The sequence below is a fragment of the Homo sapiens genome, chromosome 16, assembly GCF_000001405.40.
Source record: "Homo sapiens chromosome 16, GRCh38.p14 Primary Assembly".
Lineage (NCBI taxonomy): Eukaryota > Metazoa > Chordata > Mammalia > Primates > Hominidae > Homo > Homo sapiens.
In genome coordinates, this window is record NC_000016.10 from 46763725 (window position 1) to 46780239 (window position 16515).

The 16515-nt window shown below is 46.0% G+C and overlaps 3 annotated features.

Annotated features, from left to right (window-relative positions):
• Nucleotides 5146-5681: an enhancer, noted in NCBI's record as "NANOG hESC enhancer chr16:46802782-46803317 (GRCh37/hg19 assembly coordinates)". NCBI's record gives its function as "activates a minimal SCP1, AML or CMV promoter by ChIP-STARR-seq in naive H9 embryonic stem cells {active_cell/tissue: H9 hESC(naive)}" and the evidence as "EXISTENCE:reporter gene assay evidence [ECO:0000049][PMID:30033119]".
• Nucleotides 13899-14414: an enhancer, noted in NCBI's record as "H3K27ac-H3K4me1 hESC enhancer chr16:46811535-46812050 (GRCh37/hg19 assembly coordinates)". NCBI's record gives its function as "activates a minimal SCP1, AML or CMV promoter by ChIP-STARR-seq in primed H9 embryonic stem cells {active_cell/tissue: H9 hESC(primed)}" and the evidence as "EXISTENCE:reporter gene assay evidence [ECO:0000049][PMID:30033119]".
• Nucleotides 14415-14930: an enhancer, noted in NCBI's record as "H3K27ac-H3K4me1 hESC enhancer chr16:46812051-46812566 (GRCh37/hg19 assembly coordinates)". NCBI's record gives its function as "activates a minimal SCP1, AML or CMV promoter by ChIP-STARR-seq in primed H9 embryonic stem cells {active_cell/tissue: H9 hESC(primed)}" and the evidence as "EXISTENCE:reporter gene assay evidence [ECO:0000049][PMID:30033119]".

A 16515-nucleotide genomic window follows, 5' to 3' on the forward strand; every position in this document is an offset into this window, starting at 1 on the left:
TTACATTCCTGATGGGCAACTGAATTTGCACTTATAATTCCCAGCTGCCATGTTTACTTTTATGTTTATTAATTAAGTGTCCTGGAATGACCACTCAGAATTAGATCCAGAAAATAAGAAGTTACTGGGGCATCCACCAGGTAATAAAAATTACTACCTGAAAAGTGTTTCTCTGATGGCTACAGTCACACTAGAAATTGGAAGGGGAGGCTGGGCTGGTTGCTCACACCTGTAATCCCAGCCTTCTGAAAGGCCAAGGTGAAAATAGTGCTTAAGGCCAGGAGTTTGAAACCAGCCTAGGTAACATAGTGGCCCCTGTCTCTACATAGAGACCCCTGTCTCTACAAAAAATAAAGATAAAAAACATTAGCCAGGCATGGTGGCAGGCACCCATAGTCCCACCTACTTGAGAGGTCATGATGGGAGAATCACTTGAGGCCAGGAGTTGGATTCCAAGCTAGGGCAACATGGCAAGATCCTGTATCTAAAAAAAAAAAAAAAAATCAATAATTAGCCAGGTGTGGTGGTGGGTGCCTGTAGTCCCAGCTACTTGGAAGGGTGAGGCAGGAGGATCATTTGAGCCCAGGAGTTGAGGCTGCAGTGCTCTATGATCACGCCACTGCACTCCAGCCTGGGTAATAGCATGAGACCCTGTCTCAAACAAAAAAAAAAAAAAAAAAAGGAAATTGGAGGTGAAGATTTTTGGGTGAATTTCCTGCCAGTTGGTCAGTAAATACCATGTATTGTCACTTTTAACTAATTTCAACTTCTTTGCCTCTAAAGTGCCCTGTGGACCTTACTGGATAACCAAGCACATCACATGAACTAAAGTTGGGTTTGCTGAGTGGCCCATGTGCTCCCCAAAAACCCATGTGTGCTCCTATCAGAGCCAATTAGTGATCACAATACCTCATCTCGGTTGAGCATATATTCATGCCAGGCCTCCTGCCAAGCATTTTAAATTCCTTAGTTTTAAAAAATACTAGGCTGGATGTGGTGGCTCATGCTTGTAATCCCAGCACTTTGGGAGGCCGCAGTGGGCGGATCACTTAAAGTCAGGAGTTCGAGACCAGCCTGGCCAACATGGCAAAACCCTGTCTCTACTAAAAATACAAAAATTGGCCGGGCGTGGTGGCGCATGCCTGTAATCCTAGCTAGTCAGGAGGCTGAGGCAAGGCTGAGAATCGCTTGAACCCGGGAGGTAGAGGAAGCAGTGAACCAAGATTGTGCCATTGTACTCCAGCCTGGGTGACAGAGAGAGACCCTGAAAAAAAAAAAAACTAGGTATGTATCATTAATATCCTTGTTTTACAGATAAGGAAACTGAGGCCTAGAGAGACCACACAGTCACTGTATTAGTTTCTTATGCCTGCTCTAATTACCACAAACTTAGTGGCTCAAAAGAAATTTATTCCTTCATAGTTCAGGAACTATGCTGACTAATGCGTGCTCTAGAGGCCTCGGAGGAGAGCCCATTCCTTGTATCTTCCAGTTGCTGGCAGCCACTGGCTTTCGTGGTTTGTGGCTGCATCGTTCCGGTCTCTGCCTCCAGGACCACACATCCTCCTCTGTGTATGTCACACCTCCCTGTGCCTCCCTTTCATATTAATACACGTGATTGCATCGAGGCCCCCCTGGCTAATCCAGGACAGTCTCCCAATCTCAAGATCCTGAACTTAATCACATCTGCAAGGTCCTTTTTTTGATTTGTAAAGTGACATTCACAGGTTCCAGGGATTAACATAGGAACATCTTTTTTGGGGGGGCCATTATCTAGTCTACCACAGTCACCCATCCTGTTACTATCAGGTGGTGGCTGCAGGTCTCCCTTCTCACGTGCTCAAGAGGGCTCATTAAGCCAGATGGGGTGGCTCACGCCTGTAATCCCAGCACTCTGGGAGGCTGAGGCAGGAGGATCGTTTGAGGCCAGGAGTTCAGAGCCAGTCTGGGCACCACAGGGAGACCCTGTCTCTACACAAAATTTTAAAATTAGCTGGGTATAGTGGTGCATGCCCGGAGCTAGTTACTCTGGAGGCTGAAGCAGGAGGATCACTTGGGCCCACGAGTTTGAGGATGCCATGAGCTATGATTGCACCACTGCACTCCAACCTGGGCAACAGAGTGAGACTCTGTTGAAAGAATGAAAGAACCAAAGAATGAAAGGAAGGAAGGAGAGAGAGAGAGAGAGAGAGAGGGAGGGAGGGAGGGAGGGAGAGAGGGAGGGAGGGAGGGAGGGAGGGAGGGAGAGAGGGAGTGAGGGAGGGAGGGAGGGAGAGAGAGAGAGAGAGAGAAAGAAAGAGAAGGAAAGAGAAAGAAAGAAAGAAAGAAAGAAAGAAAGAAAGAAAGAAAGAAAGAAAGAAAGAAAGAAAGGAAAAAAGAAAGAAAGAAGGAAGGAAGGAAGGAAAGAAAGAAAGAAAGAAAGAAGAAAGAAAGGAAGGAAGGAAGGAAGGAAGAAAGAAAGAGAGAGAGAGTTGGTTAGTGGTGAACGTGTAGCACAGAGGCTAAAAGTCCAGGCTTTGGCACCAGGCAGACTGGGTCTGAAGCCCAGCTCTCTCAGGAATCTGAAGCACTGTGTGACTTAAGCAAGTGACCCAACTGCTCTGGGCCTCAGTTTCCCCATCAAGGCCTACTGCATGGGAATATTTTGAGGATTAAGTGAGAAAATGAATGTGAAACTCATACAACAGTGCCTGCACATAGTCAGGTGCCCCCTTAGTGGTAGCTGCTCTTGTTAAGAGCAGGATATAAGCTGGAGTTCTGACCCAGCCTTGCAAAGGGACACCTGGTGAGTACCAAGTTTCTGCAGATTAAAAAAATGTGAAAATGGGAAGTAAAGTCATTCTGCCACACAGCCAGTGAAATTCAATGCTAATCTCAGCATAGCAGAACTCTGAAAATCTTTTGGTGTGGAATGGTAGAAAAGACCTGCCAGAACTGGCCATGTAAAGGATTTGTGCTCTTTCAAAAGTGAAGACCTCGGCCAGGCGCAGTGGCTCATGCCTGTAATACCAAGCACTTTGGAAGGCTGAGGCAGGAGGATTACTTCAGCCCAGGATTTCAAGACCAGTCTGGGAGACATGGTGAGACCCCATTGCTACAAAAAATAAAAAAAAAGTTAGGCAGGCATGGTGGCATGTCCCGTGCCTATGGTCCCAACTACTCAGGAGGCTGAGGTGACAGGATCACTTGAGCCCAGGAGGTCGAGGCTGCAATGACTTGTGATCACACCACTACACTCCAGCCTGGGCAACAGAGCAAGACCCTGCCTCAAAAAAATAAATAAAAAGAGAGAGGAGACTTCTCCCTTTCTCCAGGGAAGGTGTGGATCTAGATCCTGAAAATGTGTGGTTTTGTCTATAGATGTTCTCTTCAGTTTGTTTTTTTGTTTCTGTTTTTGTTGTTTTCTGTTGTTGGTGTTGGTGGTTTTTTTGAGACAGGGTCTCACTCTGTTACCCAGGCTGGAGTGCAGTGGCACAACCACAGCTTACTGCAGCCTCAACTGCCCAAGCTCAAGGAATCCTCCCACCTTAGCCTCCTGAGTAGCTAGAACTACAAGTGTGCGCCACCATGCCCAGCTAATATTTTTATTTTTAAAATTTTTGTAGAGATGGGATCTCGCTTTGTTACCAGGGCTGGACTCAAACTCCTGGGCTCAAGGAATCCTCCCACCTCAGCCTCCCAAAATGCTGGCATTACAGGAATGAGCCATCGTGCCAGGCCCATGTTCTCATTGCTTTAAATGGGATTTGACTGGAAATTTACATTGTGATAGTCCCTTTGAGGTTAAACTGATTCCAGTTTCAAGACCTATAACAAAAAGAACAACTGATAAATCAAGAACTTAAGAGTGTGGAGAATAAGAAAAATAGGCATAAAATAGTAGGAAACAAACAGTAGGGGAGAAACAAGGACATTTTAAACTTGGGCACTTGTTATAAATATATTTGACAGAAGAAAAGCAAACTGGCTTGTCTCCTTAACTCGGAGCAAAATAAATTTGATTTGATTCTGCTTCATTCACGAACTGGGATAGAATAACACGCTTTATTAAAGAAGTTTTAGTATTTTATTTGGCTGATGTTGAAACTGCACTTCTAAGTTTTACCATATTTATGTATGATCTGCTCGACTTGTTGTATTTCATCCAATTAGGTTTTTCCATTCAACACACCGGGCTTCTTTACAGATATGACCAGGATTTCTTAATTTCAGTGAGAAACATGCTAAGAGTCAATGAAACAAGAAAGCAACAGATTCTGCCTTTTTAGAAAAACTGTAAACTACTTAAATGTCAACCAGTAGGGGAAAGAATGATAGCTCTACATGTACCGACATGGAAAGCCACCCAAGGCATATGACCGAGTTAAAAAAAAATCACAAAATAACATATACAATTTAATCCTGTCTAAATTGAGAAGAGACTGATAATCAGACAGATGAACATGGATACGTAAATCCATTAATAATGGTTGGCAAAGATATACACCCAATTATTAACAGCAGCCACTTCCTGGGAAAAGAGCAGAACTGGGGTGGGGAAATAAAGGGAAAAGCCATCTTGTATCTGCATTTTTACAAGAAACATGTGTTTTTTAGTTTTTTTTTTCTTCCCTTCTTTTTTTTTAAGACAGTGTCTCACTCTGTTGCCAGACTGGAGTGCAGTGGCGCGATCTCACCTCACTGCAACCTCCACCTCCCAGGTTCAAGCGATTCTCCTGCCTCAGCCTCCCAAATAGCTGGGACCACAGGCGCGCGCCACCATGCCCAGTAAATTTTTGTATTTTTAGTAGAGATGGGGTTTCACCATGCTGGCCAGGATGGTCTCGATCTCTTGACCTCGTGATCCCCCTGCCTCAGCCTCCCAAAGTGGGATTACAGGCGTGAGCCACTGTGCTCGGCCTAAGAAGCATGTTTTTGTATATTACATATATATCTTTTAAAGCAATACATTATTTACTTCAATGGAAATAATATGTTAATTTACAGTTCTTTTACTAGAGATACTACCCATGGGATAACAAATACTAAACGTGCATGTGGGATTTTTTTTTCATTTTTCATTAATAAACCAGACAGGATGTCTCTGCCTTGACTCTTCAGATTGATGGACAAGAAGTCCAATAAGGAATAAGCTCATACCCTGAGGACAGGGTAAGTGGGTACCACACAGGGATGAGAGTCCCTACACCCTGGAAGCTGAGGTCAGTTGGGAGAGGGTTAACAGACAAACAGCAGGCGGCAGGGAAGTGCTGCCAGGAGGCCTGTGAGCCGGGAAAGCTCTAGGGTGGATCAACTGTACCCACCTGCTTCTCTCTCTCCTCCCCCACCTTCCCCCATCCCCAGGCCCTCAGTCCAAGCAGCTGGCATCTACCCTCAGGCAAAAGTAAACAAACAAGTCCTTGACAGCTCTTTAAAGCAATTAAGTATTGGTCGGGCGGTGGCTAACGCCTGTAATCCCAGCACTTTGGGAGGCCGAGACGGGCGGATCACGAGGTCAAGAGATGGAGACCATCCTGGCTAACATGGTGAAACCATGTTACTCTACTAAAAATACAAAAAAAAATTACCTGGGCGTGGTGTCGGGCGCCTGTAGTCCCAGCTACTTGGGAGGCTGAGGCAGAAGAATGGCGTGAACCTGGAGGTGGAGCTTGCAGTGAGCCGAGATCTCGCCACTGCACTCCAGCCTGGGCGACAGAGCAAGACTCGGTCTCAAAAAAAAAAAAAAAGGGAAAGAAAAAGAAAAAAGAAATTAAGCAATCCATATTGGAGAATCAAAGGCTTTTATTCATCACCTTGGTACACTAAAGTCCTCATTCTGGGCAATCAAGTGACCTCATCCTCCTCGACCCCATACCCAGAGCACCCAGTCAGAATTCTCACTGGGGAGAAGCCACCGAGTCACATAGACCTTCTTTTTAAGATATGACCAGACAACCAAAGATCACCAAGACATTCCCAGAACCAGCAGCCTGAAAAAGAAAGAGCAAGATATATAGGTGAAAAATGAACTCTGGTGGAAAGATCGTCAGGGAATAGAAGAAAACTTGGCTCAAAGAGGTTTTTTGTTTTTTGTTTGTTTGTTTCGAGACAAGGTCTCGCTCTCTCACCCAGACTGGAGTGCAGTGGTGCAGTCATAGTTCACTGCAGCTGCAATCTCCCGGGCTCAAGCAAGCTTTGCAAAGTGCTAGGACTACAGACATGAGCCACTGTGCCCAGCCGACTAGAAGAGGTTTAAGAAAAAGTTTATAAAACCAGAACAGGTTGATCTGAAAAAAGAATAATCAGAAAACAAGGGGAAGCAATTAGATAGATTAAAAATATGATAGCTGGCCGGGCACAGTGACTCACACCTGTAATCCTAGCACTTTGGGAGGCCTAGGCAGGTGGATCACCTGAGGTCAGGAATTCGATACCAGCCTGACCAATATGGTGAAACCCTGTTTCTACAAAAAAAAAAAAAAAAAAAAATTAGCTGGGCGTGGTGGCGGGCACCTGTAATCCCAGCTACCTGGGAGGCTGAGATAGGAGAATTTCTTGAACCAAGGAGGCAGAGGTTGCAGTGAGCCAAGATCACACCTCTGCACTCTGGCCTGGGGGACAGAGCGAGACTCCATCTTAGAAAAAAAAAAATGATAGCTGAAATAAGATGTTCAAGGAATCATAAAAGAGGAAATTTCCCAGAACCTAGGGGAAAAAATAAACTGTGAAAGAACAGATGAGAAACAAAAGGACAATTCAAAACTCCACAATTCACTAATGGAGTCCCAGGAAAAGAGAATAAAGACTGGGGTGAACTGCAGTCTGCCATTCACTGCAATCAAAGACTGCGCTCCAGCCATTTCCCCACCTTTGCATCTTTCACTCCCAGGGCATCTGATGGGAACCTGTTTGGCGGCCACTGTGGAGCTTAGCTCCTGGATTTACTGTCCCACAAAGACTGCGGGATGGTATTTTGAGGAAGGGGCATTGACAGAGGGTGGTCAAAAAAATGAGAAATGTGCACGACTTTTTTAATGTGGCCTGCTTGCACCAAGGAAGCCAGGGCCATAGCCTGTGTGTGGACGCTTGCTGTCTAGGGATAACTCATTTGAGTCATTAAAAGAAATGCTAAAATCAGAGCAGAGTGAGCAGAGCCCTTCAGCTCATCACTGACGACTTGTCTCCAGGGTGACATCAGTTCACCCTCTTTGGGTGTGGTTGTTCAATTGCTTACAATCGCACACAAGTCCCCAGCTCATGTTTCTCCATGTTTGGACAAGAACATCACAACTTTTGCAATCCCTTGGTCTACAGCATAGAGCAGGCATTGTCTTGCATGAGTGCCTGGCTAAACCCAGTCTACATTGATGGTAGATTTCTATCAATTTGAAACAACTGGATTTTCCATCCTAGGAAGTTAAAAATTGGTCTGGTAAGACACAGATTCTAGAGACAGTCTTTAGGTTTCAGCCTAGAGAGGCCATCAACGCCCATAAATCAGAAAGGACAGGGTGAAAAAAAAAAAACACAAATGAGGATGTACAAGACAAAAGGCTCAGATAACAAAGAAAGTATCTTTGTCAACAATGGGGGTTGTGGGGTAAGAGTAGGGCTGTGATGTAGATAGAAGTAGATTAACTAAGCAGGGATGGTGGATTACTCTGCCTGTAATCCCAGAACTTTGGGAGGCTGAGGTGGGTGGATTGCTTGAGCTCAGGAGTTCAAGACCAGCTTGGGCAACATGGCAAAAACCCCACCTTTACAAAAAATACAAAAATTAGCTGGGCATGGTGGCATGTGCCTGTGGTCCCAGCTACTTAGGGGGCTGAGTCGAGAGGATCGCTTGAGCCCCAGAGCCCAAGGCTGCAGTGAGCCATGGTTGCACCACTGCACTCCAGCCTGGACAACAGAGCAAGACCCTGTCTCAAAAAAAAAGAAGTAGCAGATTAACTGGAGACCTGGAGACTTTCAAACCTCAAATGAAGGAGCAGAATCCATTAAAGACAGGTTTAGGGAAGTCATTAAGGTTAGAGGCAGAAAGATGAGAACATGGTAAGAATTCTTAGGAAAGGAGACTTTTGAAATAATATTTTGTTCAGGAAGAAGTGGTGACACCAATGAAGAGAGAACACAGTAACTGAAATAAAAGCCAATCAAAATATGAACAAGGGCAGGCATAGTGGCTCATGCCTGTAATCCCAGCACTTTGGGAGGTTCAGGCGGGTGGATTGCTTGAGTCCAGGAGTTCAAGATCAGCCTGGACAACACAGCGAGACCCCTGTCTCTACAAAAATACAAAAATTAGCCGGGTGTGGTGGTGCACCTGTAGTCCTAGCTATTTAGGAGGCTGATGTAGGAGGACTGCTTAAGCTCAGGAGTTTGAGACTGCAGTAAGCCATGATCACACCACTGCAGTCAGCCTGGGCAACAGACTGAGACCCTATCTCAAAATCCAAAACAAAATATAAACAAAATACTTGAATCCACCATTTGAATCTGGGCCAGGTGCAGTGGCTCATGCCTGTGATCTCAGCATTTTGGGAAGCCAATGTGGGAGGATCGCTTGAGCTCAGGAGTCTGAGGCTGCAGCGGGCTGTGATCATACCACTGCACTTCAGCCTGGGTGACAGAGTGAGACCCTGTCTTAAAAAAATAAAAATAAAAATAGACCCCAAAATCCCCCAAAATTTGAATCTGAAAAGAAAACCTACAACATATGTAGCGAGAACACCTGCATCAACCAGAAAGGTTACAATGAGCACTTGGCCTTCTGCGCTTGGAAGTAACATTACCAACACAGCTTAAGGACAAAAAGGTCTTTATATCCACTGAAATCCTCTATTTTCTAAATAATACCTATGTTGCTTTCCTAGTCAGTTGCAATAATGCTAAGCTATTTGAAATGTGTTTTCCTGTTTCTCCTCCACCCAACAAGCTGTCAGTACTTCCGCTCCAAAACAGGAGTCACACTGACCTAGGTTTGTATCCAGGCTCTGTCACGTATGAAGTATGTGACCTGGAGCAACTTTCTTAGCTCTTTGAGCTTTGTTTTCCTGATTTGTAGTGATCGAACACAATCATACATGGAAAGTATTTGGTACTGTGTCCACAGCAGTGACTACTCCAGAAATGGTCACTCTTTACTACTGTTTTTACTATTGTTTCTTGTAACCACACTCAAATGTTGGCACACCATAAAAGAATTCATAACTGCTCACATGTGTTCAAGTGATTTTTTTTTTTTTTTGAGACAGAGTCTGGCTCTGTCGCCCAGGCTGGAGTGCAGTGGCACAATCTTGGCTCACTGCAACTTCTGCCTCCCGAGTTCAGTGCCTCAGCCTCAGCCTCCCCAGTAGCTGGGATTACAGGCGCATGCTATCATGCCTGGCTAGTTTTTTTTATTTTCAGTAGAGACAGGGTTTTGCCATGTTGGCCAGGCTGGTCTTGAACTCCTGACCTCAAGTGATCTGCCTGCCTTGGCCTCCCAAAGTACTGAGATTACAGGTGTGAGCCACCACGCCCAGCTTCAAATGATTCTTTTAACTTGTAACAAACATGAGTTCTACTTTTTTTTAGGTGTTTTATATTCTTACAATCTCAAAATCCCACTTAAAACTTTGGACCCCAGGTTTCCTGATGAAGAGCAGGGGTGATATTTATCCGTATCCCTAACGGCAAGGGCATGTGTCTCCCAACCGAAATGGGGCACCTGGCAAGCTTCTGGCAGAGGCATTGCTGTTGCTGGTGACGTGAAATGACAGCAACCAGAGGCCAATAAGTGAGCGGTTTGTTTTGTTGTATTCTTATTTTACTAAAGAGATAAAATTTTCCAAGCAAAAGAAAAGTGAAGCTTAACAGGTCTATCACGGGAGCCTTGGGAGTCTCATTCCCAGATCACATCCCTGATCAGCCACTGGTTTGTTTTTTTTTTGAGATGGAGCCTCGCTCTGTCTCCCAGGCTGGAGTGCAGTGGCATGATCTCTGCTCACTGCAAGCTCCGCCTCCCGGGTTCACACAATCTCCCACCTCAGCCTCACGAGTAGCTGGGACTACAGGTGCCCACTACCACGCCTGGCTAATTTTGTTTTTGTATTTTTAGTAGAGATGGAGTTTCACCGTGTTAGCCAGGATGGTCTTGGCCAGGATGGTCTTGATCTCCTGACCTCATGATCTGCCCACCTCGGCCTCCCAAAATGCTGGGATTACAGGCGTGAGCCACCGCGCCCAGCCCTTTTTTTTTTTTTTTTTTTTTTTTTTTTTTTTTTATGGAGACAGTCTTGCTCTGTCGCTCAAGCTGGAGGGTGCACTCTTGGCTCACTGCAATCTCTGCCTCCTGGGTTCAAGAAATTCTCCTGCCTCAGCCTCCCACATATCTGGGATTACAGGCGTGTGCCACTACCACCTGGCTAATTTTTGTATTTCTAGTAAAGACAGGGTTTTACCATGTTGGCCAGGCTGGTCAGTTGAATTCCTGACTTCAAGTGATCCACTCGTCTCGGCCTCCCAAAGTTCTGGGATTACAGGTGTGGGCCTCCACTCCCGCCTCCTGGTCAGCCACTCTATAGCTGCATAGAAACAGAAAGGGCAGACTCTGGAAACAGCTCGGATACATGGGAAGCAACTTGAAATCACCATCTGCTTCATCTATTGCAAAGAAAAATCTGTCACATATGGGCAATTATCATGGAAACATGAAGCAATTTTCTATGGAGTACTTTCTAGATATGTTAGATATGAAACATCAGAAAGAATACCAAAACTCCAAAGATCACTTGGAGAGCAGATAGATTTGGGCATTAAGACATAACCCCTCCCAGGCCAAGTGCGGTGGCTCACGCCTGTAATCCCAGCACTTTGAGCGTTCAAGGCAGGTGGATCACTTGAGGTCAGGAGTTTGAGACCAGACTGGCCAACATGGTGAAACCCCATCTCTAATGAAAATACAAAAAACTAAATGGGCATGGTGGTGTGCACCTGTAGTCCCAGCTAATTGAGAGGCTGAGGCAGAAGAATCACTGGAATCTGGCAGGCGGAGGTTGCAGTGAGCCAAGATCGTACCATTGCACTCCAGCCTGAGTGACAGAGCAAGACCCTGTCTCAAAAAAAAACAAAAAACAAAAAAACCACAATCCCCACTGAAACAACCCCATTCAACGGTTGTTCTCAAAAATGGTCAAGTGATTTAAATAGACATTTCTATAAAAAGGACACAGAAATAGCCAATAAGCACATGACAAGCTTCTCAGTATCACTAGTCATTAGGGAAATGTAAGTTAAAACCACAATGAAATACCACTTTACACCCATTAGAATGGCTATTACTTACAAAAATAGAAAATAACAAGTATTGGTGAGGAGGTGGAGAAACTGGGACACTGTGCATCGCTGATGGGAATGCAAAAATGATGCAACCACTATGGAAAACAGTTTGGTGATTTCTCAAAAAGTGAAACATAGGATTACCACATGATCCAGCAGTTCCACTCCTAGGTACATAACCGAAAGAATGGAAAACTGGAACTCAAACAAATACTGGTACACCTATGGTCACAGCAGTATTATTCACAGTAGCTCAGAGGTGGAAACAACCCAAATGTTCAACAGATGAATGGGTAAGCAAAATGTGGAATATATACACGACGGAAAATTATTCAGCCTTATTATTACTCATTCAGAAGGAATGAAATTCTGATACCTGATACAACATGGATGAAGCTTGAAACCATTATGCTAAGTGAAATAAGCCAGATACTGAAAGGCAAATGTTGTTATGATCCCACTTATATGAGGTACCTAGAATAGGCAAATTCATAGAGACGAACAGTAGAATAGAGGTTGCCAGGGGCTGGGGAAGGAGGGAATGAGGAGTTACTGTGTAAGGGGTACAGAGTTTTAGTACGGGATGATGAAAAAGTTCTAGAATTAGATAGTAGTCACTGATACACAGCATTGTGAATGCCCTTAATGTCACTGAAATGGACAGTTAAAAATGATTAAAGCCAGATACGGTGCTTCATGCTTTTAATCGCAGCACTTTGGGAGGCCGAGGCGGGCAGATGGCTTGAGCCCAGGAGTTCGAGACCAGCCTGGACAATACAGAAAAGCCCTGTCTGTACAAAAAACACAAAAATTAGCCAGGTGGGGTGGCAAGTGCCTGTTGTCCCAGCTACTTGGGAGGTTGAGGAAGGAGAATTGCCTGAGCCCAGGAAGTTGAGGCTGCAGTGAGCTGTGATCGTGCCACTGCACTCCAGCCTGGGTGACGGAGCAAAATCAGCTCCTGTAATGTGCCCACCACCAAGCCCAGCTAATTTTTTGTATTTTTAGTAGAGACAGCGTTTCCCCATGTTGGCCAAGTCTCCAGCTCCTGACCTCAAGTGATCCGCCCACCTTGGCCTCCCAAAGTGCTGGGATTACAGGCGGCATGAGCCACCGTGCCTGGCCAGAAGTGACTTTTTTAATTGACAAAAAAGAAAGAGGCCAGGTGCTGTGGCTCACGCCTGTAATCCCTGTCTTGGAAAAAAAAAAAAAAAAAAAGAAAAGAAAAAATGGTAAATGTTGTTATATAGATTTTACCACAACTAAAAAAAATGTAACTCCACCTCAACCCACATTCTAAAGTTCTTGGGCCATATATAATGCATAAAAATGTTTGATAAGTACATCTGGGAAACAGCTCAGCCTAGGAATGTGATACCATAATAGATAATAAATAATAAAAGGATCTGAAGTAGATTTCTCTTACTGGTAAGGTCAGAAGTGACTTTTTTTTTTTTTTTGGAGACAGAGTCTCATTCTGTCACCCAGGCTGGAATGCAGTGGCCTGATCTCGGCTCACAGCAACTTCCACCTCCTGGGTTCAAGCGATTCTCATGCCTCAGCCTCCTGAGTAGCTGGGATTACAGGCGCCCACCACCACACCCAGCTAATTTTTTGTGTTTTTAGTAGAGACAGGGTTTCCCTGTGTTGGCCAAGTCTCCAGCTCCTGACCTCAAGTGATCCGCCCACCTCGGCCTCCCAAAGTGCTGGGATTACAGGCGGCATGAGCCACCGTGCCTGGCCAGAAGTGCCTTTTTTAATTGACAAGAAAGAGGCCAGGTGCAGTGGCTCACGCCTGTAATCCCAACACTTTGGGAGGCTGAGGTGGGTGGATCACTTGAGGCCAGGAGTTTGAGACCAGCCTGGCCAACATGGTGAAACCCCATCTCTACTAAAAATACAAAAATTAGCCGGGTATGTTTGCGCACACCTGTAATCCCAGCTACTCAGGAGACTGAGGCACGAGAACCACTTGAATCCGGGAGGTGGAGATTGCAGTGAGCCGAGATCGGGCCACTGCACTCCAGCCTGGGTGATGAAGCAAGACTGTCAAAAAAAAAAAAAAAAAAAAAAAAAGAAAGAGAAGAAGGAAAGGGAAAAGGAAGGAAAGGAAAGGAAAGGCAAAGCAAAGCCAGAGCTTTTTGAGAGCTATGTTGTTAATAAATACACAGTGAATGAAGATTAGTACGGAGATCAAAGTGAAGGCATGGGCTTTACCATGCAGCAGGAAAATTAGTTAGAATCTCAAGAGTTTTTTTATTAACAGCAACTCATTAAAATCAATATGTAGCCTACTTGCACATTTTAAAACCTTACAGTAAATATAAATATGAGCTAAATAATAAAGGTGGGGTACTCCTACATTCAGCCAAGATAAAGCAGGACTAGATTTACCCTCCTAAGGTAACAACCAAGGATCTGGACAGGATATAGGAAAGATCACTGCTCAAGACACTGGACATGGGTGATGCGGACAGTGAGGCATGAGAAGTGACGAGAAAATGAGGTGAACCCTCTGATGGCCCCAGCATCCAGATAACTAGAGAAAAAGTAGATGTTAAGCAGAGACATGGAACACATTTTTACTTTTAAATTTTTTATTTATTTTTATTTTTTTGAGATACAGTCTCATTCTGTCGCCCAGTCTGGAGTGTGGTGGTGCAATCTCGGCTCACTGCAACCTCCACCTCCCAGGTTCAAGCAATTTTCCTGCCTCAGTCTCCCAAGTGGCTGGGACTACAGGCCTGCACCGCTAAAGGTAGTGGCTGCTGTAATCACGCAGGCTGCAGCAGGGGCTACACACTCCATGGAGCCTGAGGGAGCCCCGCCCCTGCTAAGTTGGAGCCAGGAGCTCCCCGGGTGCAACTGCAGCCAGCCAAACCCCAGCTGCAGACCCAGACGTCCTGACCTACGGAGCAGGCCAGGAGCCCTGCCCTCCCAAACTACAGCTGTGGATCCGAGCCTACCTGTGCTCTTGTGGGGGCGGGGTGTGGGGGGAGCGCAGGAACAGGCAAGATCTACCCTCCCAGGTGCAGCGGACCTGTGGCTGCAGACCTGGGCCTCCCACTCTACAGAGGAGGCAGGAGCTGGGGGACAAGCGTGAGCCTTCCGAGTTGGCGGGATGGGAGCTCCAGGGTGCAGCTGTGGCTGCCCTCCCAGGTGCAGGACCGGACATCTCTGCAGCCTGCACCCTCCAAGGCCCCAGGAAGGACCCTCCGCCCATCTCTGCAGGCTCAGAGGTTTCCGCTCCCACTGCCTGGCCTCTCTTGGCTCCTGGCGCCTGCTCTCATCTCAGAGTGGGGTTGGGGCCCAGCCCCAGGGCCATGAATGGCAGCAGGAGACAGACAGAGTCCTGGGCAGAAGAGGCAGGTCCCCAGGAAGTCCCCATCTTCAACCAGGGAGGGCCAGAAGGCTGGGGACTGGGCTGCCAGTCCAATGGACTGGAGTGGGGACTTTTGCTGCCTTTTCCTGCTGGCCTATGGCGGCCCATGACACCCATGGACCAATGGGCACACACTTCCTCCCCTCTGAGGTCCATAAAGGCCCTGGGCTCAGCCAGAGCAGGGCAGCAGACAGCCAGAGGATGAAGGGGGCAGAGAGACAACAGGATGATCAGCTGCAGAGAGGAGTACCCTGTCTGCTGAGAGCTGGAGAGGATGGGACAACCACCTGCAGAGAGGAGCTACCCTCTCTGCTGAGAGCTTTAGTGACTACCTGACCGCACAGAAGAGGCACCCTTTCCAGGGCCTCCTCTCCACTGAGAACTGCAGATATCTGGGACAACCAGTTGCACAGAGGAGCTACCCTCTCCAGGGCCTCCTCTCTGCTGAGAACTGAACACTTGGTGGATGACCTGCCTATAGAGAGGAGCTACCCCCTGCAGGTCTCCTCTGAGCTACTGTAACACTTAATAAAGCTCATTTTCATTTGCTGAGTTGTTGTAATACTTGATAAAGCTCATCTTCATGTTCACCCTTCACTTTGCTGAACGCTGGACAAGAACTCAGACAATTGGTCACCCTTCACTTGTCTGCTCTTCCTGGACACAGACAGGACAAGAACTCAGGCAAAGGTGCCATGGCCTGCAGAGGTTTCTGGGAAGAAAACTGACATCCCAAAGATCCCGGCCATGCTTTAGTAGATGTTGACCAGGCTGTTCTCAAACTCCTGCCCTCAGGTGATCTGCCTACCTCTGCCTCCCAAAGTGCTAGATTACAGGTGTGAGCCGCCCACTGGGCCTGCCTGGAAAACATTTGTTGAAGTCCGAAGTTGAAATTCTAGAGATGAAACCTAAAACATTTTAGATGAAAAATACACTGGATGGGACTAAAGGCAGGTTAAACACTACAAAGGACAAAGATTAGTGAAGATTAAGACACAGTCATAACAATAGAACTATCCAAAAAAAAAGAGGAAAAAAAAGAGCAGTAAGCTGTAGGACTTTAAGTGGCCTAATATATGTGTAATTGGAATGTCCAAAGGAGAGGGGAGAAAATAATGGCCACGTCATTTCCAAATTTGATGAAAACTATAAACCCAGCCAGGTGCGTTGGCTCACATCTGTAATCCTAGCACTCTGGGAGGCTGAGGCTGGAGGATCACTTGAGCCCAGGAGTTTAAGACAAGCCTGAGCAACATAGTGAAACCTCATCTCTACAAAAAATTTAAAAAATTAGCTAGGCCTGGTGGCATGAACTTGTAGTCCCAGCTACTTGGGAGCCTGAAGCAGGAGAATCGCTTGAGCCCAGGAAGCAGCATGCAGTGAGCCAAGATCGCACCACTGCACTCCAGTCTGGACAACAGAGCCAGACCCTATAAAAACAAAGAAAATAAAATGAAAGAAGAAAGAAAGGAGAGAGAGACAGAGAGACAGAGAGAGAGAGAGCCAACTATAAATCCACAGATAAAAAGAAGAAGCTCAATGAACCTCAAGCACAAGAAACATCACTCTGTCATCAGGCCTCAGTTAAATGTCATCTTCCCAGAGAGACCTTCCCTTACCAGAAAACCCTAAGAATCATTATATCATTAACTTGTCTTTAAAGTGGTTTCCTTTTTTATTGCGTATCCTTACCCCCACCCTAAAGTAAGCTCCGCAAGGACAGGGACCTTGTCTGCATCCTCACCACCGAGTTCCCAGGGCCTAGCAGAACACCTGACATTTAGCAGGTGCTCAATACGTACTTCATGAATGAAGAGTAAATGACCTCTTCCATTCGT